The sequence below is a fragment of the Homo sapiens genome, chromosome 10 (assembly GCF_000001405.40).
Source record: "Homo sapiens chromosome 10, GRCh38.p14 Primary Assembly".
NCBI classification, from domain to species: Eukaryota; Metazoa; Chordata; class Mammalia; order Primates; family Hominidae; genus Homo; species Homo sapiens.
In genome coordinates, this window is record NC_000010.11 from 53,920,907 (window position 1) to 53,946,483 (window position 25,577).

The 25,577-nt window shown below is 35.8% G+C and overlaps 1 protein-coding gene across 19 annotated transcripts in view; it reads right to left on the reverse strand.

The window, feature by feature from the left end:
- The window catches only part of PCDH15 (protocadherin related 15), a 1,825,172-nt gene that overhangs the window by 118,136 nt on the left and 1,681,459 nt on the right, over positions 1–25,577 (reverse strand). For all 19 annotated transcript variants that reach the window (XM_047425663.1, NM_001354420.2, NM_001354429.2 and 16 more), the window contains 2 exons: positions 19,960–20,069; positions 17,909–18,049 (listed from right to left, as the gene is read on the reverse strand). In XM_047425663.1, coding sequence (XP_047281619.1) covers positions 17,909–18,049; positions 19,960–20,069 — 251 coding nt within the window. The remainder of the gene's footprint in view (positions 1–17,908; positions 18,050–19,959; positions 20,070–25,577) is intronic.

Sequence of the window (25,577 nt, forward strand, 5' to 3'; positions counted from 1 at the left end):
AGTCTAATTATTATTTATCTATATATCTTTGCTGTGTTCATTAGTCATATGGTATACAACATATTAAATAATTCATTTTTTGCACAAATTTTAGAAGTAATATAAGTGGAAGCAATTTAACTACAACTACTTAGTGTAATGAACATTTTAAATTGAGCTTTTGGAAAGTGCTTAATTAATACTTGTAAAATAGGGGTTCACAGTTCTTGCAATATGTCATTAAGTCCAAGCATTATCTTTAATCTTCTCCCAAACTTCTGAGAGGAGAAAATAGTTTTTGAAGCAACACAAATTGATAAACCTTCAAAAGTTGAGGTAATCAGCTACTTACATTTTTGAGCACTAGTCACAGTATAAATGGAAATTAAAATTCCATTATGACATAAAGTAAAAATTTAGCACTGTAAGTTTCAAGTAATATGCCACCCCTCTACACCAACCTTACCAAGCACTTCATTCAACCACATTTCAGCCCTAATATGACTTTTTTTTTATTTGCCTAAACAGTATCACTTCCTCCTTTATTTTGGCCTCAGAAGTCCATTTTCCCTCCTTGGTTTACTATTACCTCCACATTCCATGAGTCCTTAATAGAAATGCCAACTATTGTACTCTTCACTTCACCCCTGGCCAAGGATACACAGCTCAAGCCAGGCCAATCAGATTCTCTCACCTTCAGATGTGTGATCCTTGAACTGACTGCCAGTTGCTTGAAGGTCATTGACCTCAGCTTTCTTAATGGCACTGCCCAAAAAGGAATTGCTACTTGAGTTTCTAAGATTGCTGAAGCCTCTCCATGTTTTTGTTTTTCCTTAGACCCTATTCAATTTCTCTCTTGCTGTACAAGCCACCAAGTATTCTTCTGATATGATTCCTTTAGTATAAGCCAGTCAGAAGTGGTTTCTGCTGTTTCCAACTTACTAACCATGCCAAAAATAGTTTGGAATGACCAATTTAGTTCATAGCAGAGAATGGACACCATACCTCCCTATTTATGGAAAAGATACTGGATTTTTTCCTCCCAAAAGACATTATGAAATGTAGATTTTTCATTTTGTGTTGCAAAATTTAATCAAGTATTAAATTTTAGTATATTTTCTTTTTTATAATCATGGATTTTACATCATTTTAATTTTTTTTTGAAGAAAGTTGTCTTTGTTTATGTATATACATTATCCGGTTGTCAATCAAGGTAGGTGTATTCAAATCTAAAGCCCTCAGAAGATGCCTGGCTGCTTTTCTAACATGTCACAACCTACAATCCCTGGTAATACAGAGAATTCAGAGGAAAATATGAGATATCTCTCTGTACACTTATCTAAAGGAGTAGATGAAGCATATTTAGTATGTGCTTATTATAATTTTGTGTGGTTCGAACATATCACAGCTAGCAGTAGTAATAAAAAATACCTTTTTATAGAGTATTTCTTATGTTACAATAAGTTAAGTACTTTTCTGATATGATAGTCCTTAAAATTCTCAAATACCCTTATGAGGTGTAGACATATTTACCCTAAGAGAAAGTTGAAGATTATAAAGGTTAGAGAAGTTTGTAAAGATCAGAACTGGGTATGGAATTCAGGCCTGTCTGATACCAAAATCATGGATCTTAAGTAATTTCATATATACAATTTTTATGTATCTACTTTTTCTCTGCTTTTCTATTAAGGTAATTTTAAATGGGAACAACTTAATGGTTTAATAATCTGTGTTACATAGAATTTTCCCTAGTATAGATTTTTGATAAAATTTCTCCTTTACTGTTTGTCCTTTAAACTCAGGCATATCTGAGCATTTATGAAATATCATCAAATAGGGATCATTTAGAAGCAAAACTGAACCACTAAACTGGTTAAAGTATCCAACTTTCTTGTGTATTTTAATAAAACACAAATATAGGTCAGGTGTGGTGGCTCGTGCCTGTAATCCCAGCACTTTGGGAGGCTGGGGGTGGGTGGATCACGAGGTCGGGAGATCGAGACCATCCTGGCTAACACGGTGGAACCCCATCTCTACTAAAAATACAAAAAATAAGCCGGGCATGGTGGCGGGCACCTGTAGTCCCAGCTACTCAGGAGGCTGAGGCAGGAGAATGGTGTGAACGTGGGAGGTGGAGTTTGCAGTGAGCCAAGATCGTGCCACTGCACTCTAGCCTGGGTGACAGAGCAAGACTCCGTCTCAAAAAAACAAAACAAAACAAAACAAAACACAAATATAGCAATCTCTATTAAACAGTCTTGATGGCAAGCATATGCTGTAAGTAAATAACTAGTAACAGGCTTTCAAAATTGAAAGTGACAGCTTTTAAAATAATGATTTCCTCTAAACTGCTTGTCTGTAATTATTTTTAAGATATTACATAGGGGACTAATTAGGTACAAGATACCAAAAGGGATAAGAACAGGAACAAGATTGATTAATTGAACTTACGAAAGTTCCTGGGAATAAAAAATGAATTAGATTGGGAAGAACTGACTACGAGACTTGTGTTCTGAATAATGATTAAAAAGAATGACAAGCTAAATTTATGTTTCTTATCTCTGAATCATAAAATTCTGTTTTTGCTTTTGCATTGAAGCAATGTGTACATTAAATTGAAATGCATGCCTTATAAAATGTAAACATTAACAAAATTAGGGAATATTTAAGAATAAATTAAATTTTAAATTGTGAAGATAAAACCAAGAAATCTTCTACCTACTTAATTCCCATGTTTTCTTCCACATACAAGCCCTTTATTATTTATTTGGCACTAGCTATAGTTATTGTTGGCCCAAGTTAACTATTATCCAACATACTTTCTTTAGTCATAATTTTTCTGGAGTATCTGCAACATTTGATGTTTCAGCCATTTTTGACTTTTCTTGAAACCCTCTTCTCCTTTGGCTAACAGGTCATCACTACATAAATTGTACTCATTTTTTCCACTGGTCTCTTAAATGGCTATTCTTTTCCTCTCATTCACTAAATGGAAGAGTTTTTCTCAAACTCAGTCTTTCATTTTTCTCTCTTGACAGCCTCAGAAAGACAAATGAGATGGGGCCTCAAGGGACAATAATTTTTTTTTCTTTTGACAGCTTAATTTGGTCATTGTGAGAGGTTACAGCCTGCTGGCAGCCCTCGCAGCCCTCGCTTGATCTCAGCACCTCCTCAGCCTTGGCGCCCACTCTGGCCGCGCTTGAGGAGCCCTTCAGCCCGCGGCTGCACTGTGGGAGCCCCTCTCTGGGCTGGCCAAGGCCGGAGCCAGCTCCCTCTGCTTGCGGGGAGGTGTGGAGGGAGAGGCGCAGGCGGGAACCGGGGCTGCATGTGGCGCTCGCGAGCCAGCGTGAGTTCCGGTGGGCATGGGCTTGGTGGACTCCGCACTCAGAGCGGCCGGCTGGCACCGTGGGCCCCAGGCAGTGAGGGGCTTAGCACCCAGGCCAGCAGCTGCGGAGGGTGCACCGGGTCCCCCAGCAGTGCAGGCCTGCCAGTGCTGCACTCAAATTCTCACTGGGCCTCAGCTGCCTCCCTGCGGGGCAAGGCTTGGGACCTGCAGCCCGCCATGCTGGAGTGTCCCCCCGCCGTGGGCTCCTGTGCAGCCTGAGCCTCCCCAACGAGCACCACCCCCTGCTCTGTGGCACCTGGTCCCATCAACCGCCCAAGGGCTGAGGAGTGCGGGTGCACAGCGCCGGACTGGCGGGCAGCTCCGCCTGCGGCCCCAGTGCAGGATCCACTAGGTGAAGCCAGCTGGGCTCCTGAGTCTAGTGGGGACTTGGAGAACCTTTACGTTTAGCTAAGGGATTGTAAATACACTAATCAGCACTCTGTATCTAGCTCAAGGTTTGTAAATGCACCAATCAACACTCTGTATCTACCTAATCTGGTGGGGACTTGGAGAACCTTTATGTCTAGCTAAGGGACTGTAAATACACCAAATCAGCACTCTGTGTCTAGCTCAAGGTTTGTAAACACATCAATCAGTACCCTGTGTCTAGCTCAAGGTTTGTAAATGCACCAATCAGTGCTCTGGGGTTTTGGAGAACTTTTGCGTCTAGCTCAGGGATTGTAAACGCACCAATCAGCACCCTGTCAAAACAGACCAATCAGCTCTCTGTAAAACAGACCAATCAGCTCTCTGTAAAATGTACCAATCAGCAGGATGTGGGTGGGGCCACATGAGGGAATAAAAGCAGACTGCCCCAGCTAGCTGTGGCAACCAGCTGGGGTCCTCTTCCACACTGTGGAAGCTTCATTCTTTCACTCTTTGGAATAAATCTTGCTGCTGCTCACTCTTTGGTTCCACGCTGCCTTTATGAACTGTAACACTCACCGCGAAGGTCTGCAGCTTCACTCCTGAGGCCAGCGAGACCACGAACCCACTGGGTAGAATGAACAACTCCTGATGGGAGGAACGAATAACCCCAGACATGCCACCTTAAGAGCTGTAACGCTTACCGCGAAGGTCTGCAGTTTCACTCCTGAAGCCAGCGGGACCACGAACCCACCAGAAGGAAGAAACTCCGAACACGCCCGAACATCAGAAGGAAAGAACTCCAGACGCACCATCTTTTAGAACCCTAACACTCACCGCGAGGGTCCGCGGCTTCATTCTTGAAGTCAGTGAGACCAAGAACCCACCAATTCCAGACACAGTTGGATCTGAGTTAGCAGAATGGATCTAAACAGCATTTCTCCCTGATACAAGCTTCACTAGCTCATCTCCTCTTAAAGAGATCATTGCCTCGACAGGGAATCTCCTATCATTACACTGCCAGTGGATTTTTGTTTGCCTTTATTTCCATATTTCCTTTATATTTGTAGAGTAATAGTGTTTCCAGTCCCTGGTTTCTAGTCTTGAGCCCTTTCTATGGTGTGTTCAGATGTGTGCAAATTAAGTTTTTTTCTTTGTGCTTATGGGAGGTCAAGAGATACTTTTTCCTTTGATGCTTTCTTTGCCTGGTTTTCTCACTTAAGCCTCATTATTTTACATTTGTACCACGTGAGACTAGCGACGCTTGGCATAACAATTCCTTGACTTAAGTACTCATGCTATATGATTTTTTTTCAAAACCTACCTGTCAGTCTTGAACACCTTTGGAAGTCCAGTTCCTTGTTTCCTGCAAGTTTTTATTTAGATCTTATTCATGTCACCCAAGATCAAAAGTATAAAATCATCCTTGATTTCTTCCTTTCTCTTTATAACCAGTCATCAAGTCCTACCAACTTCTCTTTTGCAGTTGTCCTATATTTTCCTCCTCTCACTGGCCCAATCCTAGTTCTAGTTTGGGACTGGCCTATTTATCCAATTCTTTTTAGCATTCATTCTATCTCTCTCCAAGCTATTCTACATACTGAGCTAACTTTCTCATGTTAATTCCCTGCTTTAAGAAACAAAACAAAACAAAAAACTGCAAGCAGTTAATCTTCCTATCAGTATTTCAAATAGTTGTGAAGAAACAACAACAACAATAAAAACAGTAAATATTCAGATTTCCATTTTCCATTTCCAGATATCTTAATTAAGTAGGTTTGGAAAAGAGATCACAAAAATATGTATTATTAAACGAGTATCTCAGGTAATTATCACCAGGTAGTTCAAACAGTTGCTTTATGAGAAACACTATTTTATGATTCTTTTACTTATCTACTTCCTTTTTCTCTTCACTAACTTTTGTTTACCACTAGGGCAATTCACTGTCTTCTGAAGCCACTTTCAACCAATTGCCAATTAGAAGAATTTTAAATTTATACAACCAAGCTGCACCTCAACCACCTTGGGCACATGTTCTAGGATCTGAGGGCTGTGTCAAGGGCCATGGTCACTCATATTTGGCTCAGAATAAATTGCTTCAAATGTTTTGCAGAGTTCGAGGTTTTTCACTGACAAAGCTACTCTAATTTCAAATCATGCATGTCTATGTCTCTTGTATATCAATTAGTCATGTACTTCATGCTACTACTTATTGTTTATACCTATGTTATAGCTTCTCCACCAGGATAGAAACTTCTTTAAAGCGCTAATCTCACCTTGTGGATACGTATCCCCTTACAGCACTTAGAACAAATATGTGATATATATTTGTTAATTTAACATACTTTTCATTATCTCTGTAGCACAAAAATAATGTTTCAGGGGCCATGTGACAAAAAAACAGAATCATATTAGATGTGCCTCAAAAATAAAGGGAACAGAGTTGTTGAAAGTGAAATAATAACTTAAAAAGTACTAGTCTGTTTGGAAGTTTTGTTTATATGTAAATGCAAGTGTGTGTGTGTGTGTGTGTGTGAATGTTAACATTAGTCAAAGAGTAAGAAGAATTACAAGGGGACCCACAAAACCTTTACCAATCCATGTAATGTTGTCAAAGATAATAAGTAATATCTAATTTCAAAATCAAAGGAGCATTGTCCCAGTCATTCTTTACCACTTTTACCTTTTACCTTGGAATACACTAAATTCCATTGTTTGCCCATGTATCTATTATTTTATTACCACTTTATATGTTTAACTCATCAAATGTTCTTGCAAATCTGATACAATTCACAATTCACTGTGAAGAATTATAAAATTATACTGTTATTAATTAGTCCAGGTCAAAATCAGATCCATTTTGGACAAAATCAATCATGAAAATATATGGTTAATTATAATGTGATCTTTTATATAAACGATAAATATCAAAAAGGTGGAGTAGTACAACAATAGATATTATAACAGCGTTTCTTTGAAAGCATTAGAACATGGCATCAAACATAATTTACTAGACAAATTCTGTATTGTGCAGGAAAAGGAGTATTTACTATTTTCTGAAATACATCTTTCATCTTCATAGTGTTATCTATACTATTCTCTTCTTTGGGATCTATCTCACATTTTTATCTTCTCTGCTATCATCCACACAGCACCTGTGATAAAATCTGGGACAAAATAAAATTGAATAATACTACATCTTTTTATTTGAGGAGAACTCACAGGCCAGATGTATTTGTTCTTGTATGACAGGGACAATGAATGATTAAGCAAAGTCTCAAAAATGAGATGACCTTTAAACTGACCCTTGTAGAATAATTGAGTTGATCTGAAAAACAATGTAGAAAGGACATTTTAAAAAGAGAGACTTGTGCAAGCAAAGACATTTAGGTATAGACATTCCTTGAGGTTAAGTGAAAAGAATGCAATGAATATAGAAATTCAGAAAAGCAGTTACATAGGATATGCCCAGTAGAACTTCAGAGACTGGTGAAGTTGAGACAATGAAACCTTCTGAATGTTCACTCCTATGTACATCTTTTCTATATGGCACTTTTCCCCATATTTCTTTTTATTATGTAAGCATAATGCTGAATTTATTTTCGTCTATTTAATGAGAAGCTTTTTTTTTCTTCTTTCGATAGTCAACCAGTAAGATCAGCTACTTGTTAAAGTTGGGAAAATAAATATTTTACTAACAGAAAAAATTGCATTATCCATAAGTGATAAAAATAAATAAAAACCAATCTAATAACTATGCTAAATCTTTAGCAAGTTATTACTTTAAGTGCAGACCTGACCTTGATTATATTACAACAGAATGGGGATAGCCAATGCCTACAACCATAATCAATAATGAAGAATTAATTCTGATAATTTCCCTCATATCTATCAATGTTAAACTACATTTTATGCTTATGTTATTCATGTAGTTGCATCTGTTTTCTATTTCTGCAAAGGTTGTTATTTCTGTAACATAAGTGACTTAATAGATTCCAGTTCTTCTGTGCATAGTTTCATTTGCATTTAATAGGGCTTAGTGTGCCTCTACTGAAATAGGAGTTTTTCTAAAGCAAGAGGTTTAGAGTGACTGTTGTATCACTTTGGGGCCTCATTATTAATCAGTAATTAATACTCTCTGGAAAGCATAAGTTTGCCAAAATATTTGGCATTCAATGAATGGCATTTTGAATCCCAATTTAAATTTGGACTAAAAAGGCTTAGAAAAAAAATCTAAATTATTTACTATATTAATTATAAGTACGTTTCCAAGAATGAAGAAAACTGTATCTTCTCTCTTTAGTTCCAGGCTTATTCTTAGGTATAAGAAGGAGAACTATTTTATGCATTCCTAGATTCTTAAATATTTTAATTTTGCTTGCCCATGGCAGCAATATGTTTCCGTCATGAAATATATATTTTTTCTCATATATGCAGAAATGTAATATTTTTCTATTTTGAAAAGTCTGATTATATATCATTGTCATCAGTTCAGCAAACCAATTTGGGATCAATGGAAGAGCACTGCCTCAATGCATTTGGTTTCAGAAATGTATTAATAATAGTGTATACCATGTTTCAAATCACATTTCCAAGGAAACCTATTGTGCACAATGCAATTTTTTCTTGGACAGACAATTTTATGCTATGAGTCCACTGGAATACATTTTTGTTTCATTGAAAATATAATTTTTTCAACCATATATTTATATAAGATGCCTAAAATTTCTGAAAGAAAAAATGCTGTTAATGATATTATCGTGTTAATTTTCATAAACTCCTCTCCATATTTTAAAGTAATACATTATTAATATAGTTTCTAAAACAGTGGCCATATATTTGTACTATAAATATAAGGCTATGATCATTCCTGGGATTTTAGGACTAAAAAATAATATGTGACAGGCTACAATATTGTTACCCAAGTTATAGCAGGGATACTTTTGTTTTAAGTCAGTCAATCATAGGTAAAGAGTCATTAGCATTATTTGTCACAGACCTTCTGTTAGAAACCACAAAAGTCAGAAGAATGAAATGTATTACAAGCTTGTACCCTACAGCTAAAACATAAAATGAAATCAATAGCATTTGAGTTGTTTTACCCTCAGTTTAAAGTTTATCTTAATTGTCTTGTAATTTATTCCTGATTGAAAGTCTAGTTATTGAATCAAAACACAATGACATATTTATAGAAAGCTATGGCTTTCTTTTTTCATGTTTAAAGATAATTATAATTTTACCATAAAGCAAAAATTGCCACTTCAATTATGGAGTTACATAAATCAATCTGTGCTGTAAACTTGCATGTTACTGCTTTTGCTCTACATAAAAGAATGGGAATGACTCTGTGGCACAAATATTAACATAAGCTTCTATAGATGTTCTGGGTACAGGCTTCTTGAAGCTTCTTTGGGACCAAGTAACATTATATCCTAAAAACCCAGGAGAGTTTGAGTTTTTCTGCAAAGAAAGAGACTATGGATAGGAAGAAAAGATGACTCATAATTTTGAAATAATGTATTAGAAATAGCAACGCATTCGGCTGGGCGCGGTGGTTCACGCCTGTAATCCCAGCACTTTGGGAGGCCGAGGCGGGCAGATCACGAGGTCAGGAGATCGAGATCATCCTGGCTAACATGGTGAAACCTCGTCTCTACTACAAATAAAAAAAATTAGCCAGGCGTGGTGTCAGGCACCTGTAGTTCCAGCTACTCGGGAGGCTGAGGCAGGAGAATGGCATGAACCTGGGAGGCGGAGCTTGCAACGAGCTGAGACCGTGCCACTGTACTCCAGCCTGGGTGACAGAGTGAGACTCCCTCTCAAAAAAAAAAAAAAAAAAAAAAAAAAAAAGAAATAGCAACGCATTCACATTTGTCTTTCCTTTTGAAACTAGTCCAACAGTCCCACAGACAGTTGTTTTCAGATAAACACAGAGATTGGCTCTTCTGCTGCTAAAGCTTAAAACTTTTATTTGTTTTATCTGAGCTCTTTCCTCAGCAAAGGAGGACCTTCAGGCCTCTGAAAAAAGTTTCAGTTATTTGAAACTTACCAGATCACTGCCCCAGAGGCCTCCTTGCTCCTCCCCAGTTCTTGTTTTCTTACACTCTTACGTTTCTTCCCTACTACATAAACCCCCTAGCTTTAGTCAATCAGGGAGATGGATTTGAAACTGAACTCCCATCTCCTCAGCTTCAACACCCGATTAAAGCCTTCTTCCTTGGCAATACTTGTTTTCTCAGTAATTGGCTTTCTGTACAGCAAGCAGCAGGACCTAGACCAAACTCCTGGTGTTTCATTAACACTTTGTAAAAGGAAGATAATTATTTGATCAAATTAGTGGTCAATATGGGAGTAAAGGAAGAAAATACGGATGCTTAACAGAATGAGACAGGAAGAAGAGATAAAATGTAGGGAGTCTAGAGGGCCAGAAAGTTTGAGTGCAGGAAGAATGAAAAATCAACACCTAATTTCTAACTGAATTGAAGAGAGAGAAAACTCCAAAGCTTTTCAGATTCCCTGCAATTTCAAGTACTGGGAGGAAGCTCCTAAGCACATTCCCATGATTAAAACAGTGTACTGTCTCCATCTGTAATAATGACTAAACCACTGTTATGAAAAGGCTGCAAATCAGGGGTGGTGAGGTGGGAGTGGGCAGAACTGGAGCTTAGTTAGCAGTCAGCCATCAGGTGGATTGTATGAGTGGTATGTATGCTACAAATTTGCATACTGTTAGCTTGATATTTAAAACGCTTCACAATCTGGCCTTAATTTTCCAGACTCACTCATGCATTGGACAAATCTTTATTGGGGGTATTTATGTGCCATGCATTTTAGGCTATTGGGATACATCAATAAACAAAACAGATACAAACTTCTGTCGTTGCGCAGACTAAATCCATTTTAACAATATCCACTAAATTCTGTTCTACAGTCTCACTGAAACAATATTCTTAATATGAAAATATAGAATTATAAAACTCTATTATTTTCTTTCATACTATCTCTTTAATCCTGCTAATATGGGCTAATATCTTTCCTGCTGTTGAATAAAAGCTCAAGAAATTTTATAATTTTTAAAAAAATTGTTAATAGTACTATGGTAAAGGTAACTTTAAAAAGAATTTAAAAATGATTCTCTAGTTCAATATATGAATCTAATACTCCAAATTTCATTTAAAGGTAAAATGTCCTTCCCCAGCTTAGATATGTTAATGGAAGTTCCTCTGCCTTTGGGGAAGAGGCTGTAAGAGATTTCTTTTTACTTTTTTCTTTATTAACTACCACCACCTCCTTCATTCACTAGCAGTTGATTTTTATCACTCAGACTTCTATTACCTGACCTTGGAGATTATGGAGAAAAGGCATGTAAGGTAGGTAGCGAAGTTCCTACTTCAATATTACTGTTGTGAAATGGCTGAATACTCTTTGGGTCAGACCTGGGTTTAAAACAGACATGGTCAATGAGAGCATCTTCAGCACTGGTATGCTTTTCTTCAGCAACTTCAGTTTGCCAGCATACTTCAGTTAATTCCAGTTTGTCATTTTATAGGAATTCTGCGGTCTATGTCCAGTTTTTGCCTTTTGCAGTATCATCACTCCTTCAGGTAATCCTACCGAACAGGATTTAAGAAAACTGGCATTCACCTGTGTCCCAAATCTGGTCCTTTGGGTTGGTTTGGGTATAATTATGCAGGCAAAGAACAGTCACAGGCTCTTTGCCTGCATACTTATAGAAGCACAGACCTTTCTAGATGTAGCTGTAATATAATGTAATACTCCAGTCATTGTAATTGCTTGTTGCTCTTTTTCTGTCTACATTTATCTGATATGTCTCAAACATGGATTTGCTGTGCTAGGCCAACATAAGGGCAGCGTTTTTTACTGTAGTTGCCAATGTTAAACTTGAGAAGGGAAAGCATATATTTCCCCAGCCATTGTATTTTGGGGAAAAGTATACTGTTGAAGTGAATTCAAGTACAACTTTACAACAACCCTCCCCTATAAAGGAATACTCATACAAAGTCACTTCTAAATTTTAATTCGCGTGACCATTTTCAATTCTCCTCGAGAGTAATGGTGTTCAGAGTGTTAAACTCTGTTACTGGAACATGATGGTTTTGGTCTAGGTTCTGCTGCTTGCCACACAGATGGGCAATCACTGAGACAATGAGTATTGCTAGGGAAGAAGGTTTTAATCCAATCGGGTGCTGCAGCTGAGGACATGGGAGATCAGTCTCATGGAGACAGATCCCTCATGGCTTGGTGTTGTCTTTGCCATAGTGAGTTCTCACAAGATCTGGTTGTTGAAAATTGTGTGGCACCTTCCCCCACCACTCTCTCTCTCCCTTGCTACTGCTTTTGCCATGGGATGTGCCTGCTCTCCCTTTGACTTCCACCACGATTATAAGCTTCCGGAGGTCTCCATAGAACCAGAGCAGATGCCAGCACCATGCTTCCTGAAGAGATTACAGAACCATGAGCCAATTAAACCTCTTTTCTTTAGAAATTACCCAGTCTCAGGTATTTCTTTTTTTTTTAAATTTTATTATTATTATACTTTAAGTTTTAGGGTATATGTGCACAACGTGTAGGTTTGTTACACATGTATACATGTGCCATGTTGGTGTGCTGCACCCATTAACTCTTCAATTAGCATTAGGTATATCTCCTAATGCTATCCCTCCCCCCTTCCCCCACCCCACAACAGTCCCCCGTGTGTGATGTTCCCCTTCTGTGTCCATGTGTTCTCATTGTTCAATTCCCACCTATGAGTGAGAACATGTGGTGTTTGGTTTTTTGTCCTTGTGATAGTTTGCTGAGAATGATGGTTTCCAGTTTCATCCATGTCCCTATAAAGGACATGAACTCATCCTTTTTTATGGCTGTATAGTATTCCATGGTGTATATGTGCCACATTTTCTTAATCCAGACTATCGTTGTTGGACATTTAGGTTGGTTCCAAGTCTTTGCTATTGTGAATAATGCCACAATAAACATATGTGTGCATGTGTCTTTATAGCAGCATGATTTATAATCCTTTGGGTATATACCCAGTAATGGGATGGCTGGGTCAAATGGTATTTCTAGTTCTAGATCCCTGAGGAATCGCCACACTGACTTCCACAGTGGTTGAACTAGCTTACAGTCCCACCAACAGTGTAAAAGTGTTCCTATTTCTCCACATCCTCTCCAGCACCTGTTGTTTCCTGACTTTTTAATGATTGCCATTCTAACTGGTGTGAGATGGTATCTCATTGTGGTTTTGATTTGCATTTCTCTGATGGCCAGTGATGATGAGCATTTTTTCATGTGTTTTTTGGCTGCATAAATATCTTCTTTTGAGAAGTGTCTGTTCATGTCCTTCGCCCACTTTTTGATGGGGTTGTTTGTTTTTTCTTGTAAATTTGTTTGAGTTCATTGTAGATTCTGGATATTAGCCCTTTGTCAGATGAGTAGGTTGCAAAAATTCTTTACAGTAATGTGCTCTAATACAAAGAGATGAGCGAGAAAATGATGAAAAGATAAGAGAAGATTCAACACTTGTATACTAGGAATCTCCCAGTGAGACAGAGGAGGGATAGAACTTTGGGTTCAGATCACCTCTACTAGAGCATTATTTCATGCAGTCACACTAGTCACCAGACCTTGCACCACTGTAAGGTGATGGCAGCATCACCTCACTCATGCCATCCCCACTGACCACAAGACTGTGCAAGCTATAAGTTACCTAGAGAAACTAAGATGAGGGACATTCTACCATACATCTTACTCAAGGAAGTTGGCCCCCAATACCCACATGCACAGAAGGCTAAAAAAATGACTGTGGTGGCAGGCGCCTGTAGTCCCAGCTACTCAGGAGGCTGAGGCAGGAGAATGGTGTGAACCCAGGAGGCGGTGCTTGCAGTGAGCCCAGATCACGCCACTGCACTCCAGCTTGGGCAACAGAGTGAGACTCTGTCTCAAAAAAAAAAAAAAATCACACGGAGATGTAACATGTTAATGAGACGTGTGACACATGAAGAAGCAAGTCATCAAACTGTGCAAATGCTATAAATTCCCATTTCTACATGCTTTAATGTCACTCCTTTCATGGCTAGGCCTGTTAAAATTACTCTCTTGGCTATCTCCAGGGAGGCAGCAAGAGCACTTTCTCTTTTCCGGGCTGCTTTCCTTGTGCTCCAGCATAAGTTCCAATAACGCCTGGAGTCTGGGAAATTTTCTTAGCCTTCTGTCAGTTTCTATTGCACAAGAGCATAAGAACTTGTGGCCAGTAACACCAGAATAGATGCCACATTAATAAAAAAAAAAAAGTCTAGAATTAAAAAAAAAATCCCTAAATGAGACTTGAACAGTTATACTACATATATAGAAAATGACCCAGAATTGCCAACATGTAGAAATACATTGACAAAAATACTGAACTCTAAAGAAAAAATAAAGGCAATTATTTGGAAATTCAGAAATAAGACCAGTTTGTCATTACACATTTTTTTACAGTAATGCTTCAAAGAATAAGAAAATGGAATGAAAAATTTAATTTAAAAAAAGAAAATGAGTCAAGTTATCCAGTCAAATTGGTCTTCAATGTTAAAGCCCTAAGATAAGCTTTTCTTAATGCACCAAAACATAGGAAATAGTGTCTCTATAATCCTGCATCAAGGACTTTACTTGGGAATGGGTTACTGATAACAAAATGACTGAATTGTGTTATTAAGAGGGATAAAACAATATCACTTTCAATTAGATGTGTGGGAAAATATAAGAGATGAAGCAGAAGCATTGCTCACAACAGGAAACATATGAGCAGTGCAAAAAAAAAGTGTACCATGTAATGTAAAAGTAAGTCGTAGAACAAATGTGGGCAAACTACAGCCCTTTGGTCAAATCCAGCCCACAGACAGCCTGTTTTAGTAAAATGAATTTTATGGGAGCATAGCCAAACCCTTTGGTTTACGTATTATCTCTTCTTGCTTTTAAGCTACAGCAGAGTAGAGTAGTTCCGACAGAGACCATATGACCCAGAAAACTAAACATATTTGTCATCTCAGTATTCCCATTTTGAGTATGATAGTGAATCAACTCATTATTTTGAAAATCAATAATAAAAGGAAAGAATAAAGTTTTTTTTTCTTGTTTTTCCTATAGTTGGTGGACCTCAGGGTTACTGAGTATTTGCTATGGAGACGTTTTTCTTTATAAAAATATTTTGGCTAATGAATATAGAAGTAATAAAAATAAAAAAATAATGGATTTAGAAAATTACTATTGGTGGTTGCTACTATCTATATCACAAAAAGAGAATCAAAGAGATTTAATGTTTAAGGAAGGAGTGAATATCACCTATGATTTATTTGTTTAAAAACAAACCAAAAATAACCTGGATATGATCAAGCCTCCAGATCTAACTACTTATTTCCTGGAAATTAAGGAAGCAGAAAGAATATGAAATGACCACTTGGAGAGACAGTCATCAATCCAGGCTTCAGAAATGTGGTTTCTTGCACAAATAAATATCAAGGTGAATAAAAGAGCGTAGTGGTGAAGCCTACAGATTAAAAGAGACTTAACAGACCTATCAACCAATGGCAATGTATAGACCTTATTTTGATTCTGATGTAAATAAATGTTCAATGTGAACTGGATATGTTTAATATGAACTATGTTTAATACCAACTGGATATATATTGATATCAAATAATTTGTTACTTTTGGCAGCAGTAATCATGATATTTTAATTGTTTTAAGAGTCCTTAAGATATACATATCAAAATATTTACAGATTGAATGTTATGACTCTGACCTGCTTCAAAATAATGCAATAGTGGGTAGTTGAGAGCATAGAGGAACAACTATTTCCCAGGGCGTGATTATGTTGAATTAGGGAGTTGATACATGGAGGTTCACCGTAATATTCTCTGTAATTTTTGTATGTTTGAAATGTTCCAAGTAAAATGTTAAAATATTTAAATATTCCTAGTGTTAAACTTATGAAATTAGCTCTAAAATTTTACATTTTAATTAATTTGCATTTAAATATTAAATCTAATCACATCATGGTTGCACAATTTACTTTGAAAATAATTTCATTAACAAATTTTTGGTAAAGAAGTCACAATAAAATACTTCTTTAATGAATTACACTTCTGATTTTTATTATCCTTATTCAAATGATATGTGGTAGGGCAACTAATTCTGCTGCAGAGATGAATATTTAGCTAACTAATTAACCTCAATTTACATAATGGTTGTATTTGCATAACTAATGGGCTGGGGATTGACTATAGGCCATTAACAGTTATTAATTAATGAGATTGAATTAGAAATATATGGGTTTTTATTTCAAACTTAGGAGGCAAAGGTCAATCATAAAAGGTTAATAACAATATTCAAAGAATCAGGCAGTAAATATTTTAGCTTTTAGACTTCATGCATTTCTGACAGGATAATTCAGGAATTGGTTTCACCTCTACATGCATACTGGGGCACATGGAAGTATACACATGTGCATTAGAGAAACTTTTATTAGCCTCAGATTTACATGTAAATTAAAGTAATGGGAGCTAGTTGTATTCACATATAAGAACTTAATGCACCTCTATTCATAAAAATCACAGGTATCACTTGAGAAAGTTCTACAACCTAAAATTTTTCTTTCTTAAACTGTTCATTTGTTTCAAGGAAAGAGTGCAGGTACACTTTTCAATTAATCTTCCTCATTTTTGCATTTGCAATAAAATAGGTTACATTATATAATTTAGAGTTACTCCAACCTTTCCACTCCTCATTTATCCAATTCAGTTTACAATTGGAAGCATCCTCTATATTTTTAAAAACATAATTGCCTGTAGTTTAAAGATTTTAGAAACTCAAAGAATTCATCTGCTATTTTTAAACAATTTAATTATGTGAGTGATGCATAATTATTGAGGACAATTCAATTCCTTTAATTTCAAAGACACCTGTATAATCTGATTTTTCAAATGATTTGGTTGTATCTCTACAAGGAACTGAGCAGCTCTCTACACTGAATCAGTAAATGAGGTTCACGATAAATGAAAAGGAGTGATTTCTTTTTATGATCAACTGCCAAACTGATACAGAAAATTCTGTCCTGCATCTTCTGCCTGTTGCTCCTGTCTTGCTTTCTTTTCTCTCACACTGCCTGGGTTCTTGCTTTATGCCTCTGCCCTCTTCTTTTTCCCTCTTCTCCCTTCTAAGAACGCTCGCTTGCTGAAATGCCTTGAAATGATGTCCAGGGATAGTCCCTGGGTGAATGTTTCAGATCCTGTTTCTCATTTCACACTCTGTCTGGGCCTCTATTCTATTAATAGTTAACTTAAACTGGATTATCTTGAGTCTTCTAGATTTTAAAAGGGTTGCTCTGATTACAAAAAGATGATTGCTTAAATGCAAAAGAGTATTACCTCAATAGATGGGAAAAGAATAGCATTTATTGCATTATTGATAACATCTTTAAATCTGTGTCAGTTCCCTTCACAAATTGGCTTTTATATGCTTCTCTGTGGGGGTAAACTATATGCCACAGAAATGTTGAAGTTCGGAGTCACAGAACGTGGGCTTAAATCTGTGACGCTTTGTTTACTGTCATTTAAAAAAATAACCTTTTTAATTATTAACAAAATCTTGCCTTTGTAAAACAGGGTAGTAATTCTCATTTCATAGATTAAAAGTGTAGGTTAAAAAGTGTAAATTAAAAATGAAAAATGATGCTACATATAAATTACAATAAATGTTAGTCGCTAATTTTAAGATGATTTTTTCTTTTCTCGAAGAAAATATGTAAATACAAGAAGCCACACAATTCAGGCAATTTCTAGAAGTCATTCATTAAAAATATCTATTTCCCAAGGTTTATCCAGAGCTTCACAGTGGGACTAAGTTTTATTATTTAACATACACAGACAATGGTGGTATTTTAACAATATTGGATACACAATTTGAAAACGGTGTTTTATTATCTCGACATTTCAGGAGTATGAAATCACTCCCTGCCTTGTCATATATTAGCTGTTTAAACGAATAGGCAATCATCTCAGAGTATTAATGATCTTTCTATGTTGTCCACTGAGAATGATATTTTAGACATAGGTATTTCATTTAAAAAATTAGCAGAGACACCATACAATTCTGGTAAAAGCTTTAAGTAGTATAACTTACTTTTTGAAGGAACTCGGAGATTGGCAAGGACCACTTCCAGGGAATCAGCTTGGACTCGAAGTACATAGCTTGTCCTGGTCTCATAATCCAGAGGTCCATTCACATAGATAACACCTGTGATGTTATTAATTCCAAATGTATCTAGAAATTAAAATACAATTACCTGGTCATTGTCTTTACGCTATAAGGAAAGAAATTCTCTTTAAAAGGCACTGTGATTTCAAAAACACTAAAAATGCCTATTTATAACTAGAGTGATGCATGAAAGTGACAAAATGCTGGCTTTTGGAAACTGTTCCAGCTCTTTGAATGATCAACATCAATACTTCGCTAAAGTCTGCCTTGAAATTGTAGGGTTTTTTTGTTTTTGTTGTTTTGAGATAATCCTGGAAAACAAAGTTCTATGGTCAATTACATTTGGGAAACACTGAATAATATATTCTTTACCTTAGATTCAGATGGTCTTCTGTCACACTAAAGGCTTTCAGAAGTTGTTTCAAAGAAAACCATCTAATTTTGTTTAACCAAAATTTTCTGAACTTACTGGATTATTATACTCTTTGTAATTTATGAATATTATTATTTTGTAGATTTAGTGTTTTGCTAAGAACACTTGAGAGAAAATAAAAAAATGGATAATTTAATGTTGCCCTGTGTCTGTTTATTTAAATAAATTTGAATGAAAATCAGGGCACTTTGGTAAACTTTATAATATCTCCCCCTCTTATGCTCTCCATATTCTCTCCTTACTTTATTTTTTCATGTAATTAATAATCCCTTATAATACTATATATTTCTTTGTTTAATAATTTTTATTATTAATCTCCGCTTACTGGACCATTAACTTCCATGAGGGCAGGAATCTATTTTGTACATTGTTCTATCTGTAGTGGCTAGAAGAGTAGTTAATACATAATAGATGCTCAGTACATATTTGTTGAATAAATAAATAAATGTACAACAGTCACTGTGGGGGACAGACGTTAATAAATATAGCCACTCTGCTGTCTTCAAAGAAAAGGACAAATAGAATCAAAAGAGAAAGTTTCGGGACGGAACAGGTTGAGAAATCATAGCTTTAGTCAGATGTTCGAAGTCCAAGGAAAAAGGAAATTTAGTTATTTTTAGGGAGGACACATAGTAGCACAGTAATAATGTAGAAAGAAAGGCAATAAAAGTAAGATATTGACCACTTGCTACACTACACGGGCAGCAATACCTAGTAATAGTTTGTCATTAAAAAGCTTAACAGGGCCTTTATAATTTCCTTGCAAACTCTTTTACATTCACTCATTTCTTTAATATTTACTATTGATTAACTTATTACATGTATATTAACTATTTCCTGACTACCTACAATATACTAGGCTATCTAACATACCAAAAGGGAAAACAGAGGAGAACTTGTGGAGAACAGGTAAAACAAAAATTAATGCGAAAGATTGAGCTATGACCTTATTCCCAGAGGCCTGCAAATTCCTATGATTCTTAAATTACAAAAACTTATATTTTTATTTTTAATCATGAATTGTATGTCTAATTTGACTATTTTGGGAATCATATAACATGCATAGCTTTTAACATGGATGTGACTCTTTTTAAAATTCACAACTTATTTACAACCTTGAAGTTCCTTCAGGATTAGTTAAGGTATGACCAACATGGAGTAAGGGTCATGGATGGTTCAGACACTGGGGCGGACGAAGCTACTGTAGGCAATGATCATGGCCAAAAGCTGAAAATTTCATGATGCATTAATTTTGAGGAAATGTCATTAAAATATTACCAAATGAGGAAAAGGGCAAGGTTTCATTAATTAGATACTTAATATTTCTTAAGGTACTTAATATTTCTTAAGGGAAAAAATCACTTTAGCTAACATCACTGGATTTTTAATCGAGTTCAGGATACATGGTTAACAATTACATTTAAGATGGGCACAATTTTATTAGAAAACAATAGAATAGATAATAATTTCAATTCAATCTGAAATTAGGCCAAATCTAAGTTTACTGGTTGATGGTGAGAACACAAACTAAAAGTCTACTCACCTTCTTCATTTCCTGAAACAATGGAGTACACAATACTTTGATTAATGGCAGCAGCAGAAATTACACCAACCATGGTCCCTTTGGTGGCAAGTTCACTTACTGGAGGAGGTCTGCAGGTTTAGAGAAGATGATGTATTTATTTTTAAATATAATTTTTGATGTAACTTTACGTTCACAGAAAAATTGAGAGAAAGATAAGAGATTTCTGATATACCCTCTGCCCTCACACATTCATGGCCTCCTCCATGATCAAATCCCCCACCCAACTGCTACCTTTGTGATAAATGATGAACCTACATTGACCCATTATCACTGAAAGTCCATCATTTACATGAGGGTGCATATTGTTGTTGTACATTTTATGAGTTTGGACAAATGTGTAATGGCATGTATCCGCTTTCATGTAGTATCATATAGGGTATTCTCACTGTTCTGAAAATCCTCTGTGCCCTGTATATTCATCCCTCCCCTCAACTCAACCTCTGGCAACCACTGATCTTTGTAGTGTCTCTATGGTTTTGCCTTTTCCAGAATGTTGTATAGCTGGAATCACACAGTATGTAACCTTTTCAGATTGCCTTCTTTCACTTAGTAATATGCATTTAATGCTCCTCAACATCTATGGCTTGATTGCTTATTTCATTTTTAGCACTACATAATATTTCGCGGTCTGAATGTACCCACAGTTTATTTCCATAAATAAAAAACATCTTGGTTGCTTCCAAGTTTTGGCAATTATGACTAAAGCCACTATAAACATCTGTGTGTAGGTTTTTGTGACTCTAAGATTTCAACTCTTCTGGGTAAATACTAATTAGCATGATTACTGGATTTTATAGTAAGACTGTTTAGTCTTTTAAGCAACTGCCAAACTGTCTTCCAAACTGACTGTACCATTTTGTATTCTCACCAACAATAAATGAGAGTTGCTGTTGCCCCATATTCTAACCAGCTTTTGGTGCTGTCAATAGTCTGGATTTCAGACATTCTAATAGGTGTGTGGTGGTATTTATTTTTATTTTTTTATCCATATTTATGACAGAGTTTTGAACTTAATAGAAGAATGTACACGGTAGTTCTTCCAAGCTACATTATGCAATTACATTGTGCTTTCATTGAAACCTTTTACAAAAAATCCTGAAATACAAATTTAGTCTGAAGTATAGGCTTTATAAATATCTGGTCCAAATTGCTTTGTTTTTGGTACTGCTGTCCATACACTTAATTGACTAGGTTATCTAAATGTAAAGCAGTCTTTCTCACAGATACTCTAGCACCTAATGGTGGTCCATATATTCATTGCATGAGCAATAACTGCTTCTTGCTGAAGAATAAGAACCAATCTGTATCATTTTAAAATGAAGTGTGTAAAGTAGATATTTAATTTACTAGTTTATTTACTTACTTATTTTACTGTCCTGCATTTTCTTTTTGCTTTCTTTTGATAACATCCAAATATTGTTTTCAATAATCTTGCCTCTTTCCTTCTCTGTACAAGTGCTTTGGGTAAGGCTTTGCCAATCCCCATGGTACATGCATAAGCACATTAACCAACTCTGGTCAATGGGGGCATTTTATCCTTTGCTCAGTGTTCATGTGATGTATACGTCTCATGTAAATTCAATGGACATACTACATAAGATTATGACTTGACTAGATTCTCGCTAGCCAACTTTTTGGGTATATCCCTCACTGGATTTGATGAAGTAAGCTGCCATATGGAGCAGTCCTCGTGGCAAGAAACTCAAGGTGATGGCTGACTAACAGCCAGCAAGGAATCGAGGCCCTTAGTCCAACATCCCACAAGAAACTGATTTCTGCCAACAACCACATGTACTTGGAAGTGGATCTTTCTGCAGTTGAGCCTCAGATGAGACCGTAGCCCTGGATGACACCTTGATTAAAAGATTATGTAAGTCCAAAAAGGAGAGGACACAGCTAACCCATGCCTGGATTCCTGACCTATAGGAAATTCAAAATGATATATGTGTTGTTTTAACCCATTAAGTTCATGGTAATATTATTATGCCACAACACAAAACTAATATTTGAACAATGGATTGTTAATTTATGACAGATCAAGATACATACTACTTATCAAAAGTTTAATACAAGAAAATATGTCAGTCATATTAGGGGATAATTTTCAAAAACTGAATTCCTATTTGTGGAAGTAGACATTACTTAAATTGTTTACTTGTCTATCTTGTTACTGCACAAGATAGAAGCTAAATTTTATACTTTCCATAATTCATCTGTTTGCTATTCCTTATACAGTATGGAAACAAGACGTCTGCAACTTATGCACCTTTAGCTTTAACATGAGAAAAATGCTATGTCGGGCCGGGCGCGGTGGCTCACTCCTGTAATCCCAGCACTTTTGGAGGCTGAGCCGGGTGAATCCCCTGAGGTCAGGAGTTCAAGACCAGCCTCACCAATATCTCTACTAAAAATATAAAAATTAGCCGGTTGTGGTGGTGTGCTCCTATAGTCCCAGCTACTCGGGAGGATGAGACATGAGAATTGCTTGAACCTGGGAGGCGGAGGTTGCAATGAGCCAAGATCACGCCACTGCACTACAGTCTGGGCAACAGAGCGAGTTTAAATCTCAAAAAAACAAAAACAAACAAACAAACAAAAAAAACAAAACAGAAAAGAAAAATGCTATGTCTTCTTTCAAATATTAAAAAATGCACGTGTACATTTTTGCTAACCTTAACTGCACAATTAGGATAGAAATAATACTAAAAAAAGTAATTGGCATAATTTAAGAAGACATTTAAATCCTATGCATACCACTAAAAGCATTTAAAATTCTATTTGTTAGTAAATGTTTACAACAGATTTACTTCTAGACAAAATTTCTCCTCATTAACCTTTGTCTTAATTGTTCCAGTACACTTGTTTCTATCAGAACTAAAACACTATACAAATACAATCTTCTCCCAAAAAGAATTAAATGAACCTCCATGATAATGAGCATTAGATTAAAAATATCAATTATTTTCTATTTTTTGGCAGGATTACAATGTACAATATTAATAAAAATAATATTATTTTATTATTGTTTTAGGTTGTGGAAAGTACCAGTTACATGATGGAGGCAAATTGCATACTCTCTTTGGAGTCACATATGTCTTGAATACAAATGATGGAGTTGGTATAAATCAGGATTCATTAAGCCAGATGGACAGAGAAGGTAGGAACATAACCAAATTGAATAAAATGGGCTGAATATAAATTAATAGGGAGAGGAATGGAAGTTAGGAATGAGAGAGTATGTAACTACTGTACAATAATTCAAGTCTGGTGTGATTTGTAAATCAATAAAGGAAATTGAAAATTTTGTATATGTTTATGAACGATCAATGGGAATTTATTTTTTTAAAGCATCAATGACTACATTTGATCTATGGGCTGTCAGTTTACGATTTTTAAAGCAGATTAACTATCTCTAATGTCTTTTCTAGTTCTACCATTCTGAACCTGATATAATGTGAGTTATCATTCACTCTTCTTTCTGTTGAGTATAATCAAAATCTATTGCTCAATTTCAGAAGCAATGAATTATGGCCAAATGAAACATTTCTCAGAAGGTTTTCTAAAAAAATATTTTCTCTATTAAATTCATAAATCTTCAATTCATCCATTTATGAAAAAAATGCATCACTAGCTCTCTTCCAATTTAAGCTTTTCGCACCTGATTTATAACAAATAATTGTGAGTGTCTGAAATGGAAGAATACTATCTTTCAAAGCTAAATTTACTGCCAATACAACTGACAAACTGCACTCTTAAAAGAAACACTTGAAACAGCTTCAGTAATGGAACTATACAGCTTACTGATGTAGCTTGAGATAGATACCAACTAGATGGCCATTTTCCAAAGATGGCTAAGAGGATGCTAAAGGAAATGGTTATTTAGCAGATATGAACTGGAACATGGGAGAGGCTAGTGGTTTCATGTTTTCATAATGGCCTTCAGTAAGGGCTTCCTCAAAGGCCCTTTCACAAGGCTTGACCTGAATTGGGTTTGATGTCCTTGCATATCCATGATGGCAGTGTTGGTTCCTATTTACTCCACAACGGCAATGCTTCTAACTTTCTTGGCCGTTTTAAACAAAATCTACAGGCTTTGACTAAAATTCCAAAATCACCTCAACTAAAACTGAAATAGAATCCGAAATAATATTTGTTTTATAAATATATTTCCTCATTGTTACTATTTGCATTATCCTTACCTTCTAAATTTTACATGTAAAACAGCTGTGTATTTTCAAAATTAATAATATTTTTGTTTTTAATAAAAATGTTATTGAGAAATAAATTAAGATAAAAATACTGGCACAATGCCTATGCATTTCAGTATATTTATACTTCCTCCCAGAAAAGTTCAATGGTCTCAGAATTTTTTGTATTCTTATTTATTTTTTAATTGGCAAATAGAAATTTTATATACTTATGGTGTACAACATGATGTTTTGAAATACGTATACACTGTAGAATGGCTAAATTAAACTACCATTTGACTACCTCACAAGTTTATTAGTGGTGAGAACATGTAAAATCTATTCCCTTAGCAATGTACAATATTGTACATTGTTGTCAACTATGGTCACCATGTTGTAAAAGAAATCTCTTCAATTTATTCTTCTAACAGAAATTTTGTATCTTTTGACAAATATCTCCCCAATCCTTCCCTTCCTACCCAGCCCCATGTAACCATTTTTTTACGCTCTACTTTCATGAGTTCAGCTGTTTTAGATTCCATATATATTAGCTTTATTAGATCACTATTAGAACATGCAGTTTTTTTCTCTGTGCCTGATGCATTTTAGTTAACATAATGTCCTCCAGATTTGAGACAAATGAACGTATTTGAGACAAAATAGAATACTAAAGTCTAGGTTCATTCACATTGTCCCAAATAAAAGAATTCCCTTCATTTTTAAGGCTGAGTAATATTTCATTGTATATATATATATATATATATATATATATATATATATATATATATCACATTTTCTTTATCCATTCATTCACTGATAGATATTTTGTTTGACTCCATATCCTATTATAAATAATGCTGCAATAATCATGGGAGTGCAGATATCTCTTCCACCAATAGCCTGATTTAAAAATGGACCAAGGAGCAGAATAGATAGTTCCAAAAGAAGACATACAAATGACCAGTAAATATGTGAAAAAAATGTTCAATATGAGTAATGATCAGAAAAATAAAAGTTAAATCTACAATGAGATATCACCTCACATCTATTAGAGTAACTATTAATAAATCCACTTCATATAACTTGTGTGTGAATATGTCTCTCACCAGGTTCAGGCACTGGTAATACTGCAGCCCAGAATGCAGTGGAGGGAAGCATTTGAGTTCCTATTCCGGCTGGTTCACATAGTGACACTGTGTGCTATCTTCCACACGGTGAGAGTTTTCCCTTAGGATCAGTTATTAGTGAACTTCCTTCACACTGACCTAAAATGTTTCTGTTTTTCGTCTACTCATCTCACTTTTCACCTGAACCCCTGGTAACCAATGATCTTTTTACTGCCTCTATATGTTTAACTTTTCTAGAATGTCACATGGATGAAATCATACA